Below are 19,383 nucleotides of genomic sequence, written 5' to 3'. Positions count from 1 at the left end.
CCACCTATAAGGATATCCTGAATGGGGGAGGAAAGGGAGTAAGACAGGGGGTGCTCTTTTAGGGTTGTTTGCCCAAGGCATATCACACTAACATCAAATTTCAAGGCCTATAGGCAGACGAGGCCACAGAGAATCATTTTTCTGCATTGGGGCTTTGAGGTTACATAGACCTGGGTCTTTACCTGACACTTACTAGCAGCGTGACCTTGAGCATTAGGTTTCAACTCACTGAGTTTCAATCTCCTCATCTGAACATGAGGTAATAATCGTTATCTAAAGCTCTTGTGAGGATAAGTAGAGTTAACATGTGTTACCTAAAACAGTTTCTGACCCTTACTAGGGATGAATAAATATTATCCATTACACCTCTGTGTTCCCTTATTGGGGCCAACTCTAGTCAAGTGATGGTCTAGAAAGAGAAAGAGGATGAATGATTACTCCCAAGCAATGCAATGACACCCTTGGGGTCCATGATGGATTCTCATTTACAAATATGTGGACCGCCATTTTCCTTTCTCCCCTGCTTCCCTCTCTCTCTCTCTCTCTCTCCCCAGGAAATGGCTACCAAAAATAACACAAGTCATTGGATAGATTCCACCACCTTCTTTGCAACCAGGACAGCCCCTGAAGAAGAGAAATGGTCCACATCTCGGCCTGGAATGGGGCTCAGGAGAAACAACACATGGGCCTTGGAAGAGACCAGCATTTCAGCTTATACCATGCCTCTTATAAAGGCCAACAAGACTAGCCTCCACACTCAGAGTCCACAAGACCAGTGCTGGGAGACATACGTTGGTCAGGTGGTTCTCTTTACCCTTACAAAGCTCTGTCATATCCATCTCATCACTTAACCCCAGCAACTCTCTGAGCTGTCACTGCCCCTATGTTATAGAAAAAAGAAAAGTTCAGTGAGGTTTATGATTTTCCAAGCCTCAAAATTAAAAAAGAAAAATAATCAGTGCAAAGATTCAGCCAATATTGACCGCATGCTGGGTCCTGTCCTAAATGCTTGGTCCTCATAAGAGTCCTATTATTGTCACCCTTATAGGCACAGATGAGGAAACTGAGGCACAGTGGTCAAGTACTTGCCCAAGGACACAGATAGTAAAGAGCAGAATGAAGTCCTGAACCCAGGAATCTGCTCCAAAATCTGTACCCTTAACCATGTTGTACAGAGAACCTCAACCCCAAGGTATTATCCCATGGAAATGGGTCACTGGCCTCGAGTCTCCTGCAGCTCAGAACCACAGACCTTAGATTCTTTCCTAGTTTCATGTGATGCTGGCCTCAGATATCAAAATTCGAATTCAAATTACCTAATATTTATTGAACACCCATTATGTACCAGAAGCCCAGTCCTCTGCCCACTGCAACTTACAAAGATGAGAAATGAAGATGCCATTGGAGGGGCCCACTGGCTGGGGCCCACAAGAATGAACAGAGATTAGGAGCACCCTGAAGGAAGAGTGACCGTGGGAAGGGTGGGGCATGGTGGCATCCAGGGACGCCCTGTGTTTCAGGAGATGCTGAAGCTCTCCATCATTGACATGCTCTTCACCGTGGCGAGCATTCTGCTCATAGACTTCTTCCGAGGACTTTTCGTGCGGTACTTAAGTGACTACTGGTGTTGGGATCTGGAGAGCAAGTTTGTAAGTAAAATGCTGTGTCTGTTGGGAAAGTTTATATGGCCAAATCCATCCTTTCTCATGTTGTGGCTGGGAAACAGTCCAGCATAGTTGAGGGGGACACACGGAAAGAGAATACAAGTGGGAAGAGATGGGTGCAGAAAGCTGAGCTTCTACTTCCTTTTTTTTTTTTTTGTCTGTTTTTTGTGTTTTTTGAGACAGGGTCTTGCTCAAGCGATCCTCCTGCCTCAGCCTCCCGAGTAGCTGGGACTATAGGCACATGCCACCATGCCCAGCTAGTTTTAAAAATTTCTTGTAGAGATGAGGTCTCACTATGTTGCCCAGGCTGACCTCGAACTCCTGACTACAAGTGATCCTCCTGCTCAGCCTCCCGAAGTGCTGGGATTACAGGCATAAGCTACAATGCCCAGCCCCACCCCTTTCTTAACATTTACCATTTGCTGGGATGGCCCCACAAGCACTGATCTCTAAGTGTTCATAAGAGCAAAGAAGTCTATATAGGTGTCTGTAATTAATTGGTTCATGCAAAGAACTTTGGAACTTGTTTAATGCACAAGTTTATTTTCTCTTGTAGCCTGAATATGGAGAATTCAAAATAGCTGAGAATGTGCTACATTTAGTCTACAACCAAGGAATGATTTGGTAGGTATCAAAGTTTCTTCTTGCCTTTGCTTACATCTCATCTGGGCTAAGATTTTAATTTACTTAGTCTAGATGGGACACGACCATAACACAGTTACATAAGCATTAAGAAGGGATGTTTCCAAGATTATTATTTCACATGTATATTACTTTTATTAATGGTTTCCTAAGAATTTTGCAGGAAGAAATTAAAAAGAAAATAATCCATGTTTAAGCTACTATTGGTCGCAGCCGAAAAAAATCTGCACAGAAACCAGTAGAATACACTCTTAGGGAGGACTTGGGGAAGGCTGGAAGGAGAGGCTGCTTCTCCCTCGTGAGGACTTCAGGAGTGGCTGCGGGGGACCTTGGCCAGTCTGTCCTCGCTCGCCACCCTCCCTCCATTTCCTCCTAATTTTCACTTAGACACTGGGCCCAGGAGTACAGCCATCCCCTAGACTGCTCCCCACCCTTGGGGAGGCAGGAAGTAGGGAAGTCTGTTCACCCATGGCGCCTCCCAGCCCATGGCATTCCTGTCCTTGGAGACACTGAGGAGCTGATTTTACCTGTTGGACCAGAATAGTGCTATTTGTTAAAACACAAGCAAACAAACGAACAAAAAACAAGAACTTGGGATATTCCATACATCCAGAAAACATTCTCTTCATAATCATTCAGTAAAATACATGGCAATTGAGAGGTACAAAGTAATACGCCTCCTGTCAAATTCTTAGAGCCACTGTATTTTGCAAAATATCTTTACAAATACAGTATTAAAAATAATAGGTGACATTTATTTAATAGTGCTAGATATCAAGTACTTTTCTACCTGTAGTAACTGATTTAATCCTTATAGTAAACCCATGAAGTAACTGCTATTATTTTCCCCTTTTTAAAGATGAGAAAACTGAAGTGCAGAGAAGCTTAGTGTCTTGCCTAACATCCAACAGATAATGATAACTGAACATTTCTTGTTAGAAACATTTTACTTAGGAAACATACTCTTATGTCCATGTTTATTTTCATACCACTAAATCCAAATTCCACAAGTATTAGATTGAATACGTATCCAATATAAACTGATTTAGACTTAAGTCTGAAGACATGGGTTTTGTCGCCTAGCTGCCATTTCTTTTCAGGGTGACCATAAGTCCCAGCTTCCCTGGGATGATCTGGTTCTTGTCTGTGGGCTCAGTTCTTTCATTCCCCAAATCTCCCAGGTTTGGATGATATAGAGTCAGCCTTAGCAACATGTCTTTGGTTTCCCCATATCTGCCCTTGTTGTCTATCAACTGGATATTTACCTCTCCTCTCACTATTGCAGAAGAGTAAACAAACTGAAATGTGTGAGGATGCTTAATGCCATATCCAGCAAAACTAGGTGCCCAAAATATGTTGATTAAACCTGAAAGGCAGTAATTTATTAGCACAGTCCTCATCATAGACAAGCAAAACCAGGAGCTGGCCCCAAATAGTAGTTATCCATTATTTGCCTCCTTCCCAGAGGATTTTCCTTTGCTCAGCTGTGAAAAGAGAGACAAACAGTTGTCCTTTGCAAATATAATATTTTAAAATAGGATCAATACCCACCTTCAGTGACTTGTCTTATCTTTAGAAGGTGGAGGGTTGTGGTCTCGGGACTTCAGGGGCTTTTCCAGTCCTTTAAGCTTAGGGTATAATCCCCAAAGTGTCAGAACCATGTTCCTGCATGGGGCTTCCATAGTCCTGGGAGATAGGCTGAAAGAGAACAGATGCAAACTGACCTTCCTCATGGTTCCAGGATGGGGGCCTTCTTCTCCCCATGTCTCCCAGCGTTCAACGTTCTCAAACTCATTGGGCTCATGTACCTGAGAAGCTGGGCTGTGCTGACCTGCAATGTGCCCCACCAGCAAGTATTTCGAGCCTCAAGGTGAGTAAGAATAAGATCTGATCATGCAGATAACTATATATACATATATATAATCCATGCCTGCCTTACCCAGGGGTCCTCTAGCAAAGGGTCCCCCCAACTCTCTTCCTGTCAAAATCTTGCCTGTCCTCCAATTTTGTCTCCTCCAAGAGCCATTTCCAATGTCTTACTCTTTCAATGAATCATTACTCCTCTTGAACTCATGACACTTTTAAAACGTTTTGCCGAAGTTTAATAATCCTTTAGAAAAAAAGTACACAAATCGTAAATGTTTAGCTTGATTAGTTTTCAAAAACTGAACACAAGGCACTCAGATCAAAAAACAAAACACAAATGGCAACCAGAGCATGCCCACTTGTATGTCATTCCAATCACTGCCAACTTCTAATGGCATAATTAGGCTTGCCTGGGTTTTACTTGATGTAAACGTAATCACACACACACACAGTATGTGCTCCTTTGTGCCCAACTGCTTACACGCAACATTGTGTTTGTGAGATTCAACTCACTGAGAAAATATACCCCAATTTCTTTATCCTGGCTCCTGTTGACGGGCATGTAGGTTGCTTCCAGCTGTTAGCCATAATGAGTAATGCTGCCTTGAACATCCTAAGTATCTTTGTTGCATATATACCTAGGAATGCAATTGCTGGGACACAGGGCATGCATATGTTCACCTTTAGCAAATAGCACCAAAAAGTTTTCTAAAATGAACACCCCATTTTACATGTCTAGCAGCATTATATGAGAGTTCCAAGTGTTTTATAACCTTGCCAACACTTATTCTTTTAACTGTTTTAATTTTACCAACTTTGGTGAATTCATAACACATTCTAAATACTTTGATTCAGTTATTTTACTTTGACATATGGTTATGTGTGTCTATATCAGTGGCTTTCAAACTTTTGCTCATGACCTACTTGACAATGCATTTTATCTGATGACAGTACACATATATTAATACATTCAGAGATATGTTTTGATATATTTATATATGTTATATATGTGTATGTATATTTATTATATGTATGTATGTCTGTGGATAGACAAAGATAAAGAAGTTTCACAACTTATCACTCTCCTACTACATTCTGTGCTCTCTGAAATCTTCTGTTCTCTTTTAGTCAAGTCTTTTTCATGAGAGAGAGAGAGAGAGAGAGAGAGACAGAGACAGAGAGAGACAGAGAAACAGACCAACAGAGAGTACTAGTTGAAAGTAACTAGATTGACCCCTCATTCTCTTTTCTGAACTGTGTACAGGGCCTTGCACACCAAACAGATCTAAGCTGCCCTCAGGGGAGCTCTGGGCATCCAAACTCCCTGACACTAGCTTAGGGCTCAGGGACCGGGGCTTAATCAGGTAGAACACATACCCTGGGCAGCCACATGCGGAGTGGATAAGAGGTTGAGTGCAAATCACACCCAAGTGAGAGAGTCAGGAATCATAAACAAAAGAGCCAAACCATCCCGAGACGTAAGAGACAAGTTCAAGCCTGGGAATAGGAGAGGGAACCATTAGGTAAGGACCCAGATGGATGGGCAATGCTTCTAAGATTTTTCCATAAATTGAGTTTACTGTGTGGAACTCCTGGGTGCCAGGGTGAGTTCACCACTTTTATGGTTTGAGGTGAACAGGTGCTCAGCAAATGTTTATTAGATGAACAGGTTGGGTGGGAGATCTCTGAAGTTCCTTTGAACGCTGATTTCTAGGTTTCTAAGCTGCATGTGACCCTATGACAGATCCATTTGTAGGTAACCCTGAGAGGAGGATTTTTAGTTTGCAAAGAGTCAGGGCAACCGTTTCTGTGGCAGCTCTTTGGGCATATGCAACCCTGGCAACTGGCTATGGAGTGAACTTAACACATGACATCTGATTTATCTGCAGATCCAACAACTTCTACTTGGCAATGCTCCTGTTTATGCTGTTTCTGTGCATGCTGCCAACCATTTTTGCTATTGTCCGATACAAGCCATCTCTAAACTGTGGGCCATTCAGGTAAGTTTCGTTCCCAGCTCTGCCCGGAGTGACTGACAGCTGTAAGGGAATTAGATCATATTGAACTGAATTCTCCTCCAAGCTCACAGAGCAGGTAAACAGGATAGAAAGATTGCAAACCCGCATGTTTTAAATCCAAGACCAGGGCTCTTTCCTTAATAGAAGGCTGCCCTTAGTATAATCATCTCTGTGCTCATGTTAAAAAACACAATCCTTTTAAAGTGAAAAAGAGAAACAGCATTGTTCTGTGCTAGAGGACATTCTACCTGGTCAAAACACAGAAAGCTTTTATTAAACCACAGTGCACAGCACTTTTTTTTCCTATATTATCCAGCTGTATTCAAGCAAAACCCTCTAGTATCTTCATCCAGCATTCAAGTCAGCTTTGATACAATATGGAATATTTAGTCTACCTTAGTGTACACGATTAGAACACACACATACATGCAATGTGATTAATGACCCCATCTTCCATCCTCCATATTAATTAGATATGAAATCATTTGAGGAATGTTATGAATTGGCCTCCAGGCATCCAGCCATTTTCTGATGTCTTGCAGCATCTTTCTGCCAAGAGCAATAAAATCTGGAGTTATGTTTTTCTTTCTCACAGTGGACAAGAGAAAATTTATGACATTGTGTCAGAAACGATTGAGAAAGACTTTCCTGTGTGGTTTGGCTCCGTGGTTGGACACATCAGTAGCCCCGTGGTCATCCTGCCCGCAGTACTCCTGCTTTTGTGAGTACCACACCTGCCAGCTTTGGAGGGACTTCTGTGTGTTTGGCCAACAAGAAAACGCTGCTTTCCAATAATTACATAAAATTTATTAGTTCATTCAAAAATCACTTAGGCTTAGAGCCTGATGATCTCAACAGGGACTCTGAGTCACACACCAGAGTCACATGAGGCACTGTGCCATGGAGACACAGCCACTGGGTCTCAGCGAGGGGCGATGAGGGAGCACTCCATTGCCATTGAGGTGGTTATTGATCCATCAACACCATTTGGTCAATTACTGTGATCACTAGAATGGGGCTGAATGCCATTATCATTTTCTAGAAACTTAAATAATCCTGAAAAGGAATTTCACAACTCAGCTGAGTAGCTTTGGCTTATTTTGGTTTAAAGGAAAAAAAAATAAAAGTGAGTGGATCCTGTACTCATAGCTTGATAGACTGCAAAATTTCTCCCCCATTTTCAGTTCTTCCTTATTGCTATCACCAGTGCAGAATTCCAGGTCAACGAGGGTGCTGTGGAAAGCCAGGAAGAGAAAACAAAAGCAGCCCCTTCCCAGTGCTCACTGGCTTGAGAACTTGCTGATACATTTTGTCCTTAGCGGAGGGTCAGTGGATAGCCCGCATCTGGCCTGGGAGCCTCTCATTCCTGCCAACTATCTGCAGGGAATGTGGTCTGAAAAGCAGAAAAGCGAGTTGCAGTCCACTCATTGTCCTGTGTTGTTCTGTCCTAGCATGCTCATCTATTATCTCCAGAGCATCGCACGGTCTCTAAAGCTCAGCAACCACCAGCTCAAAATGCAGATCCAAAACGCAAGTATTTCATGAACTTTGCTATTATGAATATGTGTCAACCACATGACTGAGATCCCGCCAGCGTGGGAATACAAGTGAAGTCACATCTTCAAGGTTTCTGTGACTCTTGGCCACCCACTATGGTGCAAGGCCACCAATCCCCAGATGTCCAAGAGTTATTTCTAAGAATACCCAGGGATGGCTCCCCTTTGCTAGGAGGAAGCCTGCTCCTGTTTTTCTTCCTCCTCAAGAGGCCTTGCAGCTGCCTCGAGCCTTTCAGTGCCCACCCTGTGACCACACCAAGCCCTCAGTGTGCCAGGTACTTTTGTGAGCTCTGGTAGATTGGCAGGGGAGAGAAAGGGCCCCTTCCCAATCCTTGTCAACTTGGGCATCTGAGCCCAGCAGCACTGTTTGTCCCTAAAGCCTCACCTCTTTCATATCCTTTAGATGTGGCTGTCATTACGTTCTCTCCATGGGGCTCAAACCCTATCTCTCAGAGCAGTCCCAGGGAGACACACGCTCCCAAAACTCCCACAATTTCTCCTCCTCCACATACCCCAGGTGTTCCCTTAGTGCCCTGGGTCCTCCAGACCCCAAGGAAGGATCCCAAGACTGGGATGAGGCCAGTGAGGCTCCCAAAGCACCACATTTAAGGAGGCTCTGTAAGCGTAATGCTGATTCTGTCCTTTCACAGCCCTGAAAATAAGTGCCTCCTTAAATTTGGCACCCCAGATGCCTCACTGACCTCACCCATGCAAAAAAACTCCTTCCACTTCTATCAGAAAAAAAAAAAAACTTCCCATGAACATCAATTCATGCAAAGAAACACAAATTAGCTTCTAATTGGAAATTCATTTGGAGTTACAAAGGCCATTTTGGTGGAAACATACATCTCCAGTGTTGTCGATCTGTATTTTTTTCTTTGTGATTCAGGCAAACTATTATGGACAGAATCTAAACATGGTCTGTTAATTAGCTGTCCCTAAATAAAACTGGCTAGGCATAAAACTTCAGCTCTCAGGTATCTGCATTTATTCACTCAAATAACAGGCCCGAGCCCAGAGCATACCGTCCATAGGGGGCAATAGTAGTACAGTTATGGTCCAAGGTAAGAACTATGGCATGTAAATCTTTTTCTCTTCCCCCAGGAATAATATTTGTTACTGCTTCCTGCTAAAGCCAAAACAAACATGCATATCATTTGCATTTTAGGCAAGATCAGAGGATAAGAAAAAGGTTGCCCAGATGGTAGAAGGTAAGTATTTCCGTTTCTTTTTGTTGTTGTTTTTTTGTTTTGAGGCAGAGTCTTGCTCTGTCGCCCAGGCTGGAGTGCAGTGGTGTGATCTCGGCTCACTGCAACCTCCACCTTCCCGGTTCAAGTGATTCTCCTGCCTCAGCCTCCTGAGTAGCTGGGATTACAGGTGCGTGCCATCACACCTGGCTAATTTTTATATTTTCACCATGTTGGTCAGCCTGGTCTCAAACTCCTGACCTCATGATCCACCCACCTTGGCCTCCCAAAGTGCTGGGGAGAGCTAGCCCCTAGAGCTAGCTCTAGGTGTGAGCCACTGCACCTGTCCTAATATTTTTTTTAAATGCAGAGATCTGCTGTCTCAGTTAGTGGGCATTTAAAAATACAGCCATTTAAAGTAGTTTGCGGTATACTACCAATACAAATTCCTGATAACCTGTGTTTTTTCACCAGTAACTATGCACAATAAAATAAAATCTAGGGATATAAATGTTGTTTTAAATCTTTAATTTTTATATCATATCCAGGCCCATGAATAATCCCAAAACATGTGTAAAATCAGAAGGAAGTATCGAAGTAGGAGAGGAAAAGCAGCACATTCACGTGGATGAAAGCCCAAAGAATCTCTTTGTCTGGGTCACTTTTGTATACTTCCTCTCCATGGCCCATCTCTTCCTTGCAATGTTCCCTCCCAGGTCCCTTCCCTGAGCCTCCTTAGGTTCTGTCCTGTCCCTGCAGAGCAGGGAGAATGGAAGCATGTGGCGTAGAAGTCTGCTGTGGCCTGAAGGGAAGAAAGTGGGCAACGGCAGCTCGAAGGAGATGGATCTGTTTCTCAGGACCACTAACAGAGTGCTGTGAGCTAGAAGGCTCACTGGGCACCATTAACATGGCACAGCCTACATGAATGAGAATGGGACCCAGAAGGGCTTTAGGGGCTAGCTCTCACAGCTGTTGCAATACTTCACTAATTGGAAGGGAAATATTCCTCTCCAGAAAAATGTCTGAGCAAGACCTCTAAGGCCTAAGGATTATGCTTGCTTGCTCCATCAGCTTTTCAGAGAGAAGCCTACAATTGATAATGATTACTGAAAGTGACTGTGGCTCACGCCATAAAATGCCTCTGTAATCGTCATCGCTTATTTGCCAATTAAGCGTAATTAAATTTAGTTCAGGTCACCTTCAAAAGCCAGAATCCACATAGACTGTTTCAGGATAACAATAGCATTGTCCAGTGTTCATTTTCCAGCTCGAGACCACATCTTTTTTCAGAATGCATGTGAACTGTTTCCAAAGAATCATAATTGTTGTGTAAGCTTTATTATCTCCATTGAATAGATAAGGAACTGGAGGCCCAAAGCTGTTAAGTACTTGCTTTGCCTCATGGGAGCATCAGATGGAGCACTGTAAAGCCTTGTGTTCACTTGATTCCTCCTACACTCCCAGCTCCAACTTGCAGGGATGAAATCATTTGAATTACAGAATGTTTGTTGCCCACTGGTTAGGTGCATTTGTAAGTGCACTCAATTGTTTGCGGACCAACTCTTGGATGTCATAAAACCCTTGCAACTCAACTCATCTGAAGTTGTCACCTGCTCAGTGACACCTGTCTTCTCACAACACCTCCCTCTCCCTGCAGCCCGAATCCAGACCCAGGAAGAAAGCACCAAGAAGCTTCCAAACGACAGTGATCTTACCAGCCAGCTGTCCTCAGCGCACTCGGGCACACCCCAAAACAACGGCAACGTGGCCCATTTTGACTCAGGGAGCAGCAAGAGTGGCAGGATAGAGACAGTCGCACAGTCCATGCCCCAGAGCCCGAGGCCAGGGGACAGGGCTCCTAGCTCACCTCTCCCTGGGGTCCCCAAATCCAGGCTAGAGCATGAAACTAACAGGTGAGGCTCCACTGCAGCACAGATTAAAACCTGGAATGTGAGAGATTTGAAGGCCTCTGCAGCTTCAGGAGGCCAAGGCCATTAAATTCTAATTCTCCCAGAAGGCATGGGTCAGGAGACTATGACAGCTGGTACTAAAAAGAAATGGAGGCGGGGTGGGGGTGTCAAAGTTTATCAAACAGGACAAATTCTTCCTCCTAGGTTATCTGCCATTTAACTTGTAAGCAAACCTTCCAGCCAACCTAGGATAAACATTTGTCTAGGCTAAGAAAATAACTGTTTATTTTTTAGTTCCACAGTGGCCATATTATTGGCAAGATCTTCCATATTTTAGCCCTAGTCTGGTCAAGTTATTGGCAAGACCATTTATGCATTACATGGGGTCAAAGAAAGCAGTAGATCCCTTCCTACTTTAATGGAGGTAGGACCCCTGGAAAGATGAAGGGGATAGACCTGCGGTGGCCCAAACTCATATGGAGAATTATATTTGATCTGAATGTAGCACAGCGAAAGCAATATAGATAAAATACAGGGGCTCTCTTTTTTAAAGATAATGACTAAGTTAGCAAAGAACTTGAAGTCTTGTTATATAAGGAGTTGTCTGCCTGTCTCTGTGGGGTCTTGACAAGGAGAAAGGGTTCAAACACTCCTTGAGAGGCCCCTAGGGGTCAAACTACAGCCACCATACAGATTCAAGTCTTTATCAGGAAGAACTTTTTTTTTTTTTTGAGACTAGGGTTTTGCTCTTGTCACCCAGGCTGGAGTGCAGTGGTGCAATCTCGACCCACTGCAACCTCCACCTCCCAGGTTCAAGCAATTCTCCTGCCTCAGCCTCCCGAGTAGCTGGGATTACAGGCACCTGCCACCACACCCGGCTATTTTTTTGTATTTTCAATAGAGACCAGGTTTCACCATGTTGGCCAGGCTGGTCTCAAACTCCTGACCTTAAGTGATCCACCTGCCTTGGCCTCCCAAAGCGCTGGGATTACAAATGTGAACCACCGTACCTGGCCAGGGAAGAACTGTTTAATATGTACAACTCCCCTCCACCCACCAGTGGAAACTCAGAGAAGTGCTTGAGAAGTCAGACAGCTGCTTAGCAGAAAGGATGAGAAACTGTGTTCCTAACATGTGCTTCACAGACACTAGTCCCACTATGTGCCTCTTGACACAAAGAGGGCTCTGTGAGGAAATACACTAGCATAACACCCCTCGCTCTGCAGTCTTCATGGAGACTCATGTGTACATCACTGATTTAGGTTCTGAAAATTCCAGCAGTAAAGAAAACTGTTTAGCCCTGTCCCCCAAATGTCTCTGTGCACACAATCCATACCCATTAACCAGTTGGAACCAGCCTCAGTGAAAATGCTCAGAGAACTGCTCACAGCTCACAGTCCTCAGGTGTGGGGCTCTGAGACCACCAAGGCCACAGCTACTTAACCGCCCCTGTCTTACAGGTATCTGCACGGTCTGTGTGCAAGCACCAGTGACCTTCACAGGAACAGATCGCGCACACCTATGACATTTACAACGCACATCGAAGATGTACACTCAGAACCTCTTTTCCGAAAAGACTTTCAGCAAATCAACCCTCCTCACCGTGGACCACAGGCCTCGACTTTGCTGGCACAGGGTCCCAGGCCCCACGCCCCCAGATACTATGTCATTAATGAATGTGACTCTTACAAGAAAAAACATCTAAATGTCTGGCCAGAAAGACATTTCAAGATAGATGCTTCAGGTGACATTGTGGAGCTGTACCCCAGGAACGTGCGACAATATGCATCCCGGGTCCCCCGCCAGCCTCCCTCCCCACAGCTGAGTGAAGAAGAGGAGGAGACGCCAAGCAGAGATTGGATCAAACGGTCTCTTCCCCCACGCTCCCTGATAGACCTCCGTCGGGCTCCTCATTTTTATATTGGGGAGAGGTCCGAAAGTCAGACCCGGGATCCCGAGCACCAGGGGAGGGTGCACTACAAGTCGTGGAATGAAGATTTTGAGGGTCACCTTGAGAGGCCAGCCTATGTGCCCAGAAAGCCACGATCCCGGAATTTCCAATACCCACAGCCCCCTCTGAAGCCCAGAGGGAAGCCCAGGTTCGAGCCATCCCTCACGGAATCTGACTCCGTGTCGGCAGCATCCAGCAGTGACCAGCAGAACAGCAGCGCTGACCAGTACCTGCAGGTCACCCACAGCCAGGGCAGGTTCCCGAGGTCCGTGGGCCAGCCCAGCAGGAGGAAGGCCAAGTCGGGGCAGGAGCTGACCGTGGATCTGGATGACTTGATTTGTTCAGATGTCTAGGCTTCCTCCAGTGTCCCGTTCCTAGAGGTCAGGCCCCTGTTGGAGTGCTGGGCCAGCACATGGCATCTCCCTTTCTGGAAAAAGAGGTGAACAAGTGTGTTAGAGACCTGAGGGGCATGGTCAGCGGCTGCTAGCTGAGGCCCTGAGGCTGACAGGGCTACAGATACCTATTCTACAGCTACTGTTAGCCAAATTTATCCGAGTTAGGTGGCACCAAAGTATGTCACCAGCAGTGAATCATCACGGGTCTGCAGCAATCTCAATACTTGCCTCCTCGGAAGAAAGAATTTGGCAGAGGGGCTCAAGACAGAAGGAGAGACTGAGGCAAGTTTTAGAGCAGGCATGAAAGTTTACTGAAAAGCTTTAAAGCAGGAATGAAAGAACGTAAAACATACTTAGTAGAGGGCCAAGCAGGCGACTTGAGAGATCCAGTGCACTGTTTGACCTTTGACTTGGGGTTTTACACGTTGGCATGCTTCCGGGGTCTTGCGTTGCTTCTCCCCACGATTCTTCCCTTTCTTCCCTTGGGGTGGGCTGTCCGCATGCGCAGTAGTGGCCTGCTAGCGCTGGGGAGGGGAGCATGCGCAGTGTGTTTACTGGAGTTGTGCACGCGCTCACTCGAGGTTCTTCCCTTACCAGGGGAATGCTCCATTTTGTCTCTTAGTGCGCATGTTTGAGCCCACTCGCCCAACTCCTGACATTTTATGGGGAAGCTGCCGATCACCAGTTTCAGGTTTTTTCTATCTATTGGGAGACTGTCGTTCCCTGGTGCCAGCTGTGACCAATTATTATTTTAGAGAGACAATCAGCAGCCACCTGACCATCACCTGATGGTCGCCTGACATTCCTGGGGGTTGTGTTGAAGAAGGAATTCATGAATTTTACAAGTATAATCAAAGACAACCAAAAATTTTTACTTTTTCCTTCAAAAGCTAAGTGTAGTGTAGCTCCCCCATAGTCTAAGTTAAAGAAGAACACTAACTGCCTGTTTTTCCTTCTGTGCTCAGCAAGCCTTATCTGTACTTGCTAGTTTCACATTCCTTGAGGCTCAGCGAGTTCCTGCTTCACCACCCTAGCGCAGCTGCAAAGTTACAAGGTTGATGCAGAAACATGGTTTCCCAGGGATGTGGAACATGTAGTATAGATAAATGTAAAAGACTGAACAACTGCCTTTGCTCTCGCTTCTGTAAGTACGCTTCCTGCCTCGCGTACTCCCGGCCACCGACTGCTTAAAAGGTGGCTGCTTTCTTTATCCAGGGCTCAGACTTTCCTGGACGCTAGTCCTACTGAGCCAGGTGATCACCTTTTAATAAAGACCTTTCCTGAACTCACTCTGTTCAGTGTCTCCCATCTTTGATTGTCCCACAACATTTCGTTGGCAGGAGCCCCCACTGTCTGCTCATGTCTAACTGGCTACCTACTGTAACACTACCACACATGAGCAGATTGTTTCCGTGGGGCTCTTTGCATCCAGAAGCACATCAGGCCATCATTTCAATGGAACTCAGTGCTTTGCCTCCTTTTGGGTTGACCGCAAATCATAAGCAAGCCAGAGATATCTCATCCTGCCTGCTGAAGCCTCAGCTGAGATATCGGAATGATACGAGTGAACTGTTTGTATTGCAATGCTGTCTTTCAACAGACAAAAGTCATCTTCTCTAATAAGCACCACAAATCAGATGGCCACCCTTAAAGATATCACAATGCTTAGTTTGTATGAATAATCAGTTTAGTAATGACAAGAGGAACTAACATTTATTGAGAACTTATTTTACTCTGCTAACTGGGCAGTATATCTGTATTAATGAGTCAGGACACTTAGATTGGAAGTAATCCATGATTTATCCCTAAGATTTGCTGGTTTGCTTAACTGGGAAGGATGGGACTCAAGCTAGCCTCAGGCCCAACTGGAGCCAGGGCATTAAAGCACCCTCAGGAATCTCTTTTCACCTCTCTGCTCTATTTCTATGTTTGTTGACCTCATTTTCTCCTACTGGCAACAGGCTTCCTCCATGTAGTCAATGGAGAAGGAAATCACAGCCACAGAAAATGCCAGGTTTACACCATCCAGCCAATGAGCCCAGAGGGAAGAACAGCACTGTTCCCCCCACCCCCCAACGCCCCCTGCCCCCTCTCCCCTTCACATTATCTTCACCTTTATGGGCTGATGTCCTTGGATCCTTCTACGGGCATTCTGCAGGGTTTGGGCAGCAGTGTGTTCAATCTGCCATGGTTAACGAGGAGCACACCCTGATTCAAATTTTCATAACTCTTTTCACTCTAAATTGTGTCTTTTAAACATTTGTCTCCTCCACCAGATTGTGTCTTTGGAGCAAGAATGGTGTTGTATTCATTCTGCATCTTCAGTCACTGACACTTATATATTGTATTCATTTTCTATTACTGCATAACAAATTTAGTAGGCTTAAAAGAATGCAGACTTATCATCTCAGTTTCCATGCATCAGGAGTCCAGGCCCAGCTTAGGTGGATCCTGAGCTCAGGGTCTCATCAGGCTATAATCCAGGTGTCTGCCAGAGCTGGCATCCCATTTGAGGTTCAAGGTCCTCTTCCAAGCTCAGGTGATTGTTGGCAGAATTCATTTCTTTGAGGTCCTAGGACTGAGGCCCTCCACTCCTAGAGGCTGCCCGCAATTCCCTGCCACAAGGCCCTCTCCACAACATGGCTGTTTGCCTCTTCAAAGCCAGAGAGTGTTTCTTCAGCTTTGAATCTCCTTCCTTCCAGGGAAGGCCTGAACCCACTTTTTAAAAGGGCTCGCCTGATTAGGTCAGGCCCACCCAGACACTCTCTTTTGATTAACTCAGAGTTGACTGAGTGGAGATCTCATTACATCTTCAAAATCACTTCACTTTTACTATATCTGGGAGTAAAATCTCATCCTATACACAAGTGCCAGCATACTCAAGGGAAGAAGATTATATAGGGCATGTATACTAGGGAGCAGCAATCTTGGAGGCCGACCATAGATAATAAACATCTGTTAAATGTGAATGGGTGAACAAATAAATGAAAGAATTGTCCTAATGAATGAATCACAAATGGCCTGGTCACAGGGTTATATTCTAAGATTCATTACCAATTCCAAACTGAAAGAAAAGTCCGTATAAATACCACCATTTTAAATGTACACACAGATTAACACCTCTCCTGAAATTTAGGAAGAGGAGTGGACATATTTTCAAATATCTTGCTATGACAAATCCAAGAGATTGCAGTCTGCTTAAGATTCAATGTTCTACAATGCCATGAAATGGGTCTGCTTAAGACTCAATGTTCTACAATGCCATGGAAATGTGCTTTTGAGATAGAGGTGCTCATGGGAGGTTCATGATGATGGTCCTCTCTTCCTGGTGCTTGGTCTGGGACTGTGGCCTCAAGCTCCCTGGGACATTAAAACATATTTTGGAAAAGGCTGACCTTTGCTCCAGACACCTGTGGGAGCACCATTGTCTGTGTGGGAGTGGGGAGGTGCTTCTTTAGGACTTAAGGGCAAGCAGGTCCTGAGACATTCCTAAGAAAATTTGAGAGTGGCCAAACACACGCAGGGTTGAAAGTATGAGTATCACTTTCCAATGCACAACACAGCTCACATGCACTCTGGCACTTACTGTTGGGTTAGGTCTTTAATTTAAATAAATTTAAAAGACATAGAATAGTGCAAAGTCTACTGTGACAAGCACCAATATTCCTACTGTGAGAGTCAACAACTGCCAAAATTGGAATTTTATTTTATTTCCATTAAGCCATTTTGTTACTATTAATAATAAAGAAAATATTACAGATACGGTCAAAGCCTACTCTAATCCTTACACAAAGTCTCATTCCCTTCACACTAGCAAGAGTTTGGAGTACATCCATTGGTCAATTGTTTATAGTTTTATATGTTGTATGTGTGAGTATATACGTATAAGCATCCATAAACAATGTGTAAGCACATCTTAAGTAAAGAGTATTATACTGCATGTATTAATGCACATACTTATATTTTTAGCTCTAGCAAAAAATAGATCAAACTCATAACTGTAGCAAAGTATTTCATCACATGAATAAACTACATAATATCGATCCTTTTTTTTACTGATGGACATTGTAATCATTTCTACTTCTTTGCTGCTGAAAATAATGTTGCACTAAACATCTTTTATATGTCTGTCTTGATGTATCTTTTTGGCACACACACGTGCCAGTGTTTACTTAGAAGTGAATATCGGTCCTCCTAAAAGAGAAATCCCTAGCTCATAAGAGAGGAGCATGTTCATTTTCACTAGCAGCTCCTTTATTAGTCCTCACGAGTCCAGACGTCTGTGCACACTTCCTCTAGAGCATGAGAGGGCCATTTTCTTATAGCCTCACCAATGCCTGATACTGTCACACTATATCATTTTTGCCAATCTGATGAAAAAATTATACCAACTTATTTTAATTAATTTGTATTTCTTATTGTTATCATCTCTCCCTAAGTCAACTGGCCATTTGCATTTCCTCTTCTGTGAACCGATTGCCTATTCAACACCTTTGTTCATTTTTCTGTGGACATCAACCATCATCGCTGTGAAAAGGAGCTCATAAAGCTCCTGACAAAAGCATCACATGCTAGTCAGTTATCCCTTTCCCTTCCCTGAACTCTAGCCCTTGTCTAAGTTGCAGCAACAGAAAGCTAAAAACGCACTCTGTCAAAAATGCCTTTGCATAACTGTGGTTTCACCACATTGCTTTGTATTTTAGTAACAGTCCATGGGGGTGTACATTTCTGCCTTTGGTCAAACTATTATTGAGGACATGATCCACAGCATTATTAAAATCTCTCCTAAAACACCTACATAACAAACTCCTCTCAAGTCTCAAAGATCAGACTGTTATATCCATTAAAGAGTGAATTCCTTTTGATAAGAGTAGTTCAGTAAATATCTTGGTAACCTCAGATTGCTTCCTTTAGTCACTCCTTTTGTCTCAGAATTCATGAGCTCCAGGAAACTTAGAGCAAAGTTTTCTGCACATCTCTAAAAGACTAACTTCCCTAGCCTAAGGTAGTATCTTCCAGCTACTCTGTGTGTGTGTTTTCCTTCTTTTTAGGGTTTGCAGGTTGTTGTTTTCTTTTATCTTTGCACGTTTCACACTTAACACTACATATGCTCATAGGATGTAGTAGACAGCAAAGCATATGAGTAAACATTTGGCCTTTGGAAATAGAAATCGTATGTTTGCCACAGCTCTGCCACTTCCCAGCTATGTGGCCTTGGATACCCTACATGATCTTCACTTTCTTAACTTGCAAAATGGGAGTAGTAGTCTCTATCTCATGGTGCTGCGGTATTGTTAAGTTAAATGGCCCAAAACAGGTAAAGTGCTTAGGATAGTGGCTAGCAAGAAGTAAGTGCTGAGTAACGATTAGCTATTGCTGAGTAAGCAATAAACATACCGACGTGCTTACATTTGTAGATTCACATAGCACCTGCCCAAGCTAACTTAGTAAATATGCATGCAATTCTTCATCAGTGTCTAAGTGGAAAGCAGATACTCCACTCTATTCAGGGCCTTGTAAGACTGGAGCATGTGGACACTTGGGCCCATCCCCTCTATAGTCTGTCTAGTGGTGGTGTTGAGTTAGAAGCTACTGGGCTACCTGCTCCCATATACACCTATTAATTGTATTCACCTGGGACTTTGATGAAGTCTGGTGGACAACTGGGTGACTCAGAGCCCTCTCAGGACCTTGTGGGAAGGGCTCTGATCAGTGGAATCTCCAGAGCTCAGTCATTCCTCCATCCCCTTCAGCTCCAAACTGCAGCCTCAGACAGACTACAAAATAGATTTCTGTCCCAGGCCCCTGGCAAACACTGTGTGGGCAGCTCTCACCTTCCCTCTGTTCCAATCATCTGCTCACTCTGCCCTGTGCCGGCCTCCGGTGATAAAATAAATGAGTGTTCTGCTTGAAGGCTGCCCTGACCTCACCAATCTCCTACTTCCAGTTTGTCACAGGCCTCGGGGACAGTTTGCTTCTCCAAATATTTTGTATATCCAGACGTTCCCATTTCCTAGGAGCAAAATAGTGCTACTATAGTCCTGCAGGGGGTCTACTCCATCCCCACTTTCCACCATCTGGGCTAGGTTATTTTGATGGCTACATAATATTCCACTAAGTGGATGTTCTATAACTTTGGTTAATATACTGGTAAATAGGTTACTTCCAGTTGCAAGATTAATTTTATGCATCTT

General features: G+C 44.2%; 1 protein-coding gene and 1 long non-coding RNA gene across 2 annotated transcripts in view; one reads left to right on the top strand and one right to left on the bottom strand.

Moving 5' to 3' along the window:
- TMC3 (transmembrane channel like 3) overlaps positions 1-14,478 on the top strand; it is a 43,126-nt gene extending 28,648 nt beyond the window's left edge. Inside the window, exons 13-22 of the mRNA NM_001080532.3 lie at positions 555-800; positions 1,521-1,649; positions 2,221-2,288; positions 4,048-4,176; positions 6,062-6,172; positions 6,786-6,911; positions 7,642-7,720; positions 8,915-8,957; positions 10,591-10,846; positions 12,304-14,478. Coding sequence (NP_001074001.1) covers positions 555-800; positions 1,521-1,649; positions 2,221-2,288; positions 4,048-4,176; positions 6,062-6,172; positions 6,786-6,911; positions 7,642-7,720; positions 8,915-8,957; positions 10,591-10,846; positions 12,304-13,147 — 2,031 coding nt within the window. The 3' untranslated portion in view covers positions 13,148-14,478. The remainder of the gene's footprint in view (positions 1-554; positions 801-1,520; positions 1,650-2,220; positions 2,289-4,047; positions 4,177-6,061; positions 6,173-6,785; positions 6,912-7,641; positions 7,721-8,914; positions 8,958-10,590; positions 10,847-12,303) is intronic.
- The window catches only part of TMC3-AS1 (TMC3 antisense RNA 1), a 118,744-nt gene that overhangs the window by 97,511 nt on the left and 1,850 nt on the right, over positions 1-19,383 (bottom strand). The window contains exons 2-3 of the long non-coding RNA NR_120365.1: positions 13,025-13,221; positions 3,858-4,004 (exon numbers count right to left, since the gene is read on the bottom strand). This is a non-coding gene — a long non-coding RNA (TMC3 antisense RNA 1). The remainder of the gene's footprint in view (positions 1-3,857; positions 4,005-13,024; positions 13,222-19,383) is intronic.

Source organism: Homo sapiens, chromosome 15 (genome assembly GCF_000001405.40).
Source record: "Homo sapiens chromosome 15, GRCh38.p14 Primary Assembly".
In the NCBI taxonomy this organism is placed as follows: domain Eukaryota; kingdom Metazoa; phylum Chordata; class Mammalia; order Primates; family Hominidae; genus Homo; species Homo sapiens.
The sequence above is the reverse complement of the archived record's forward strand: the minus strand, read 5'-3'. Positions and strand labels throughout refer to the sequence as shown.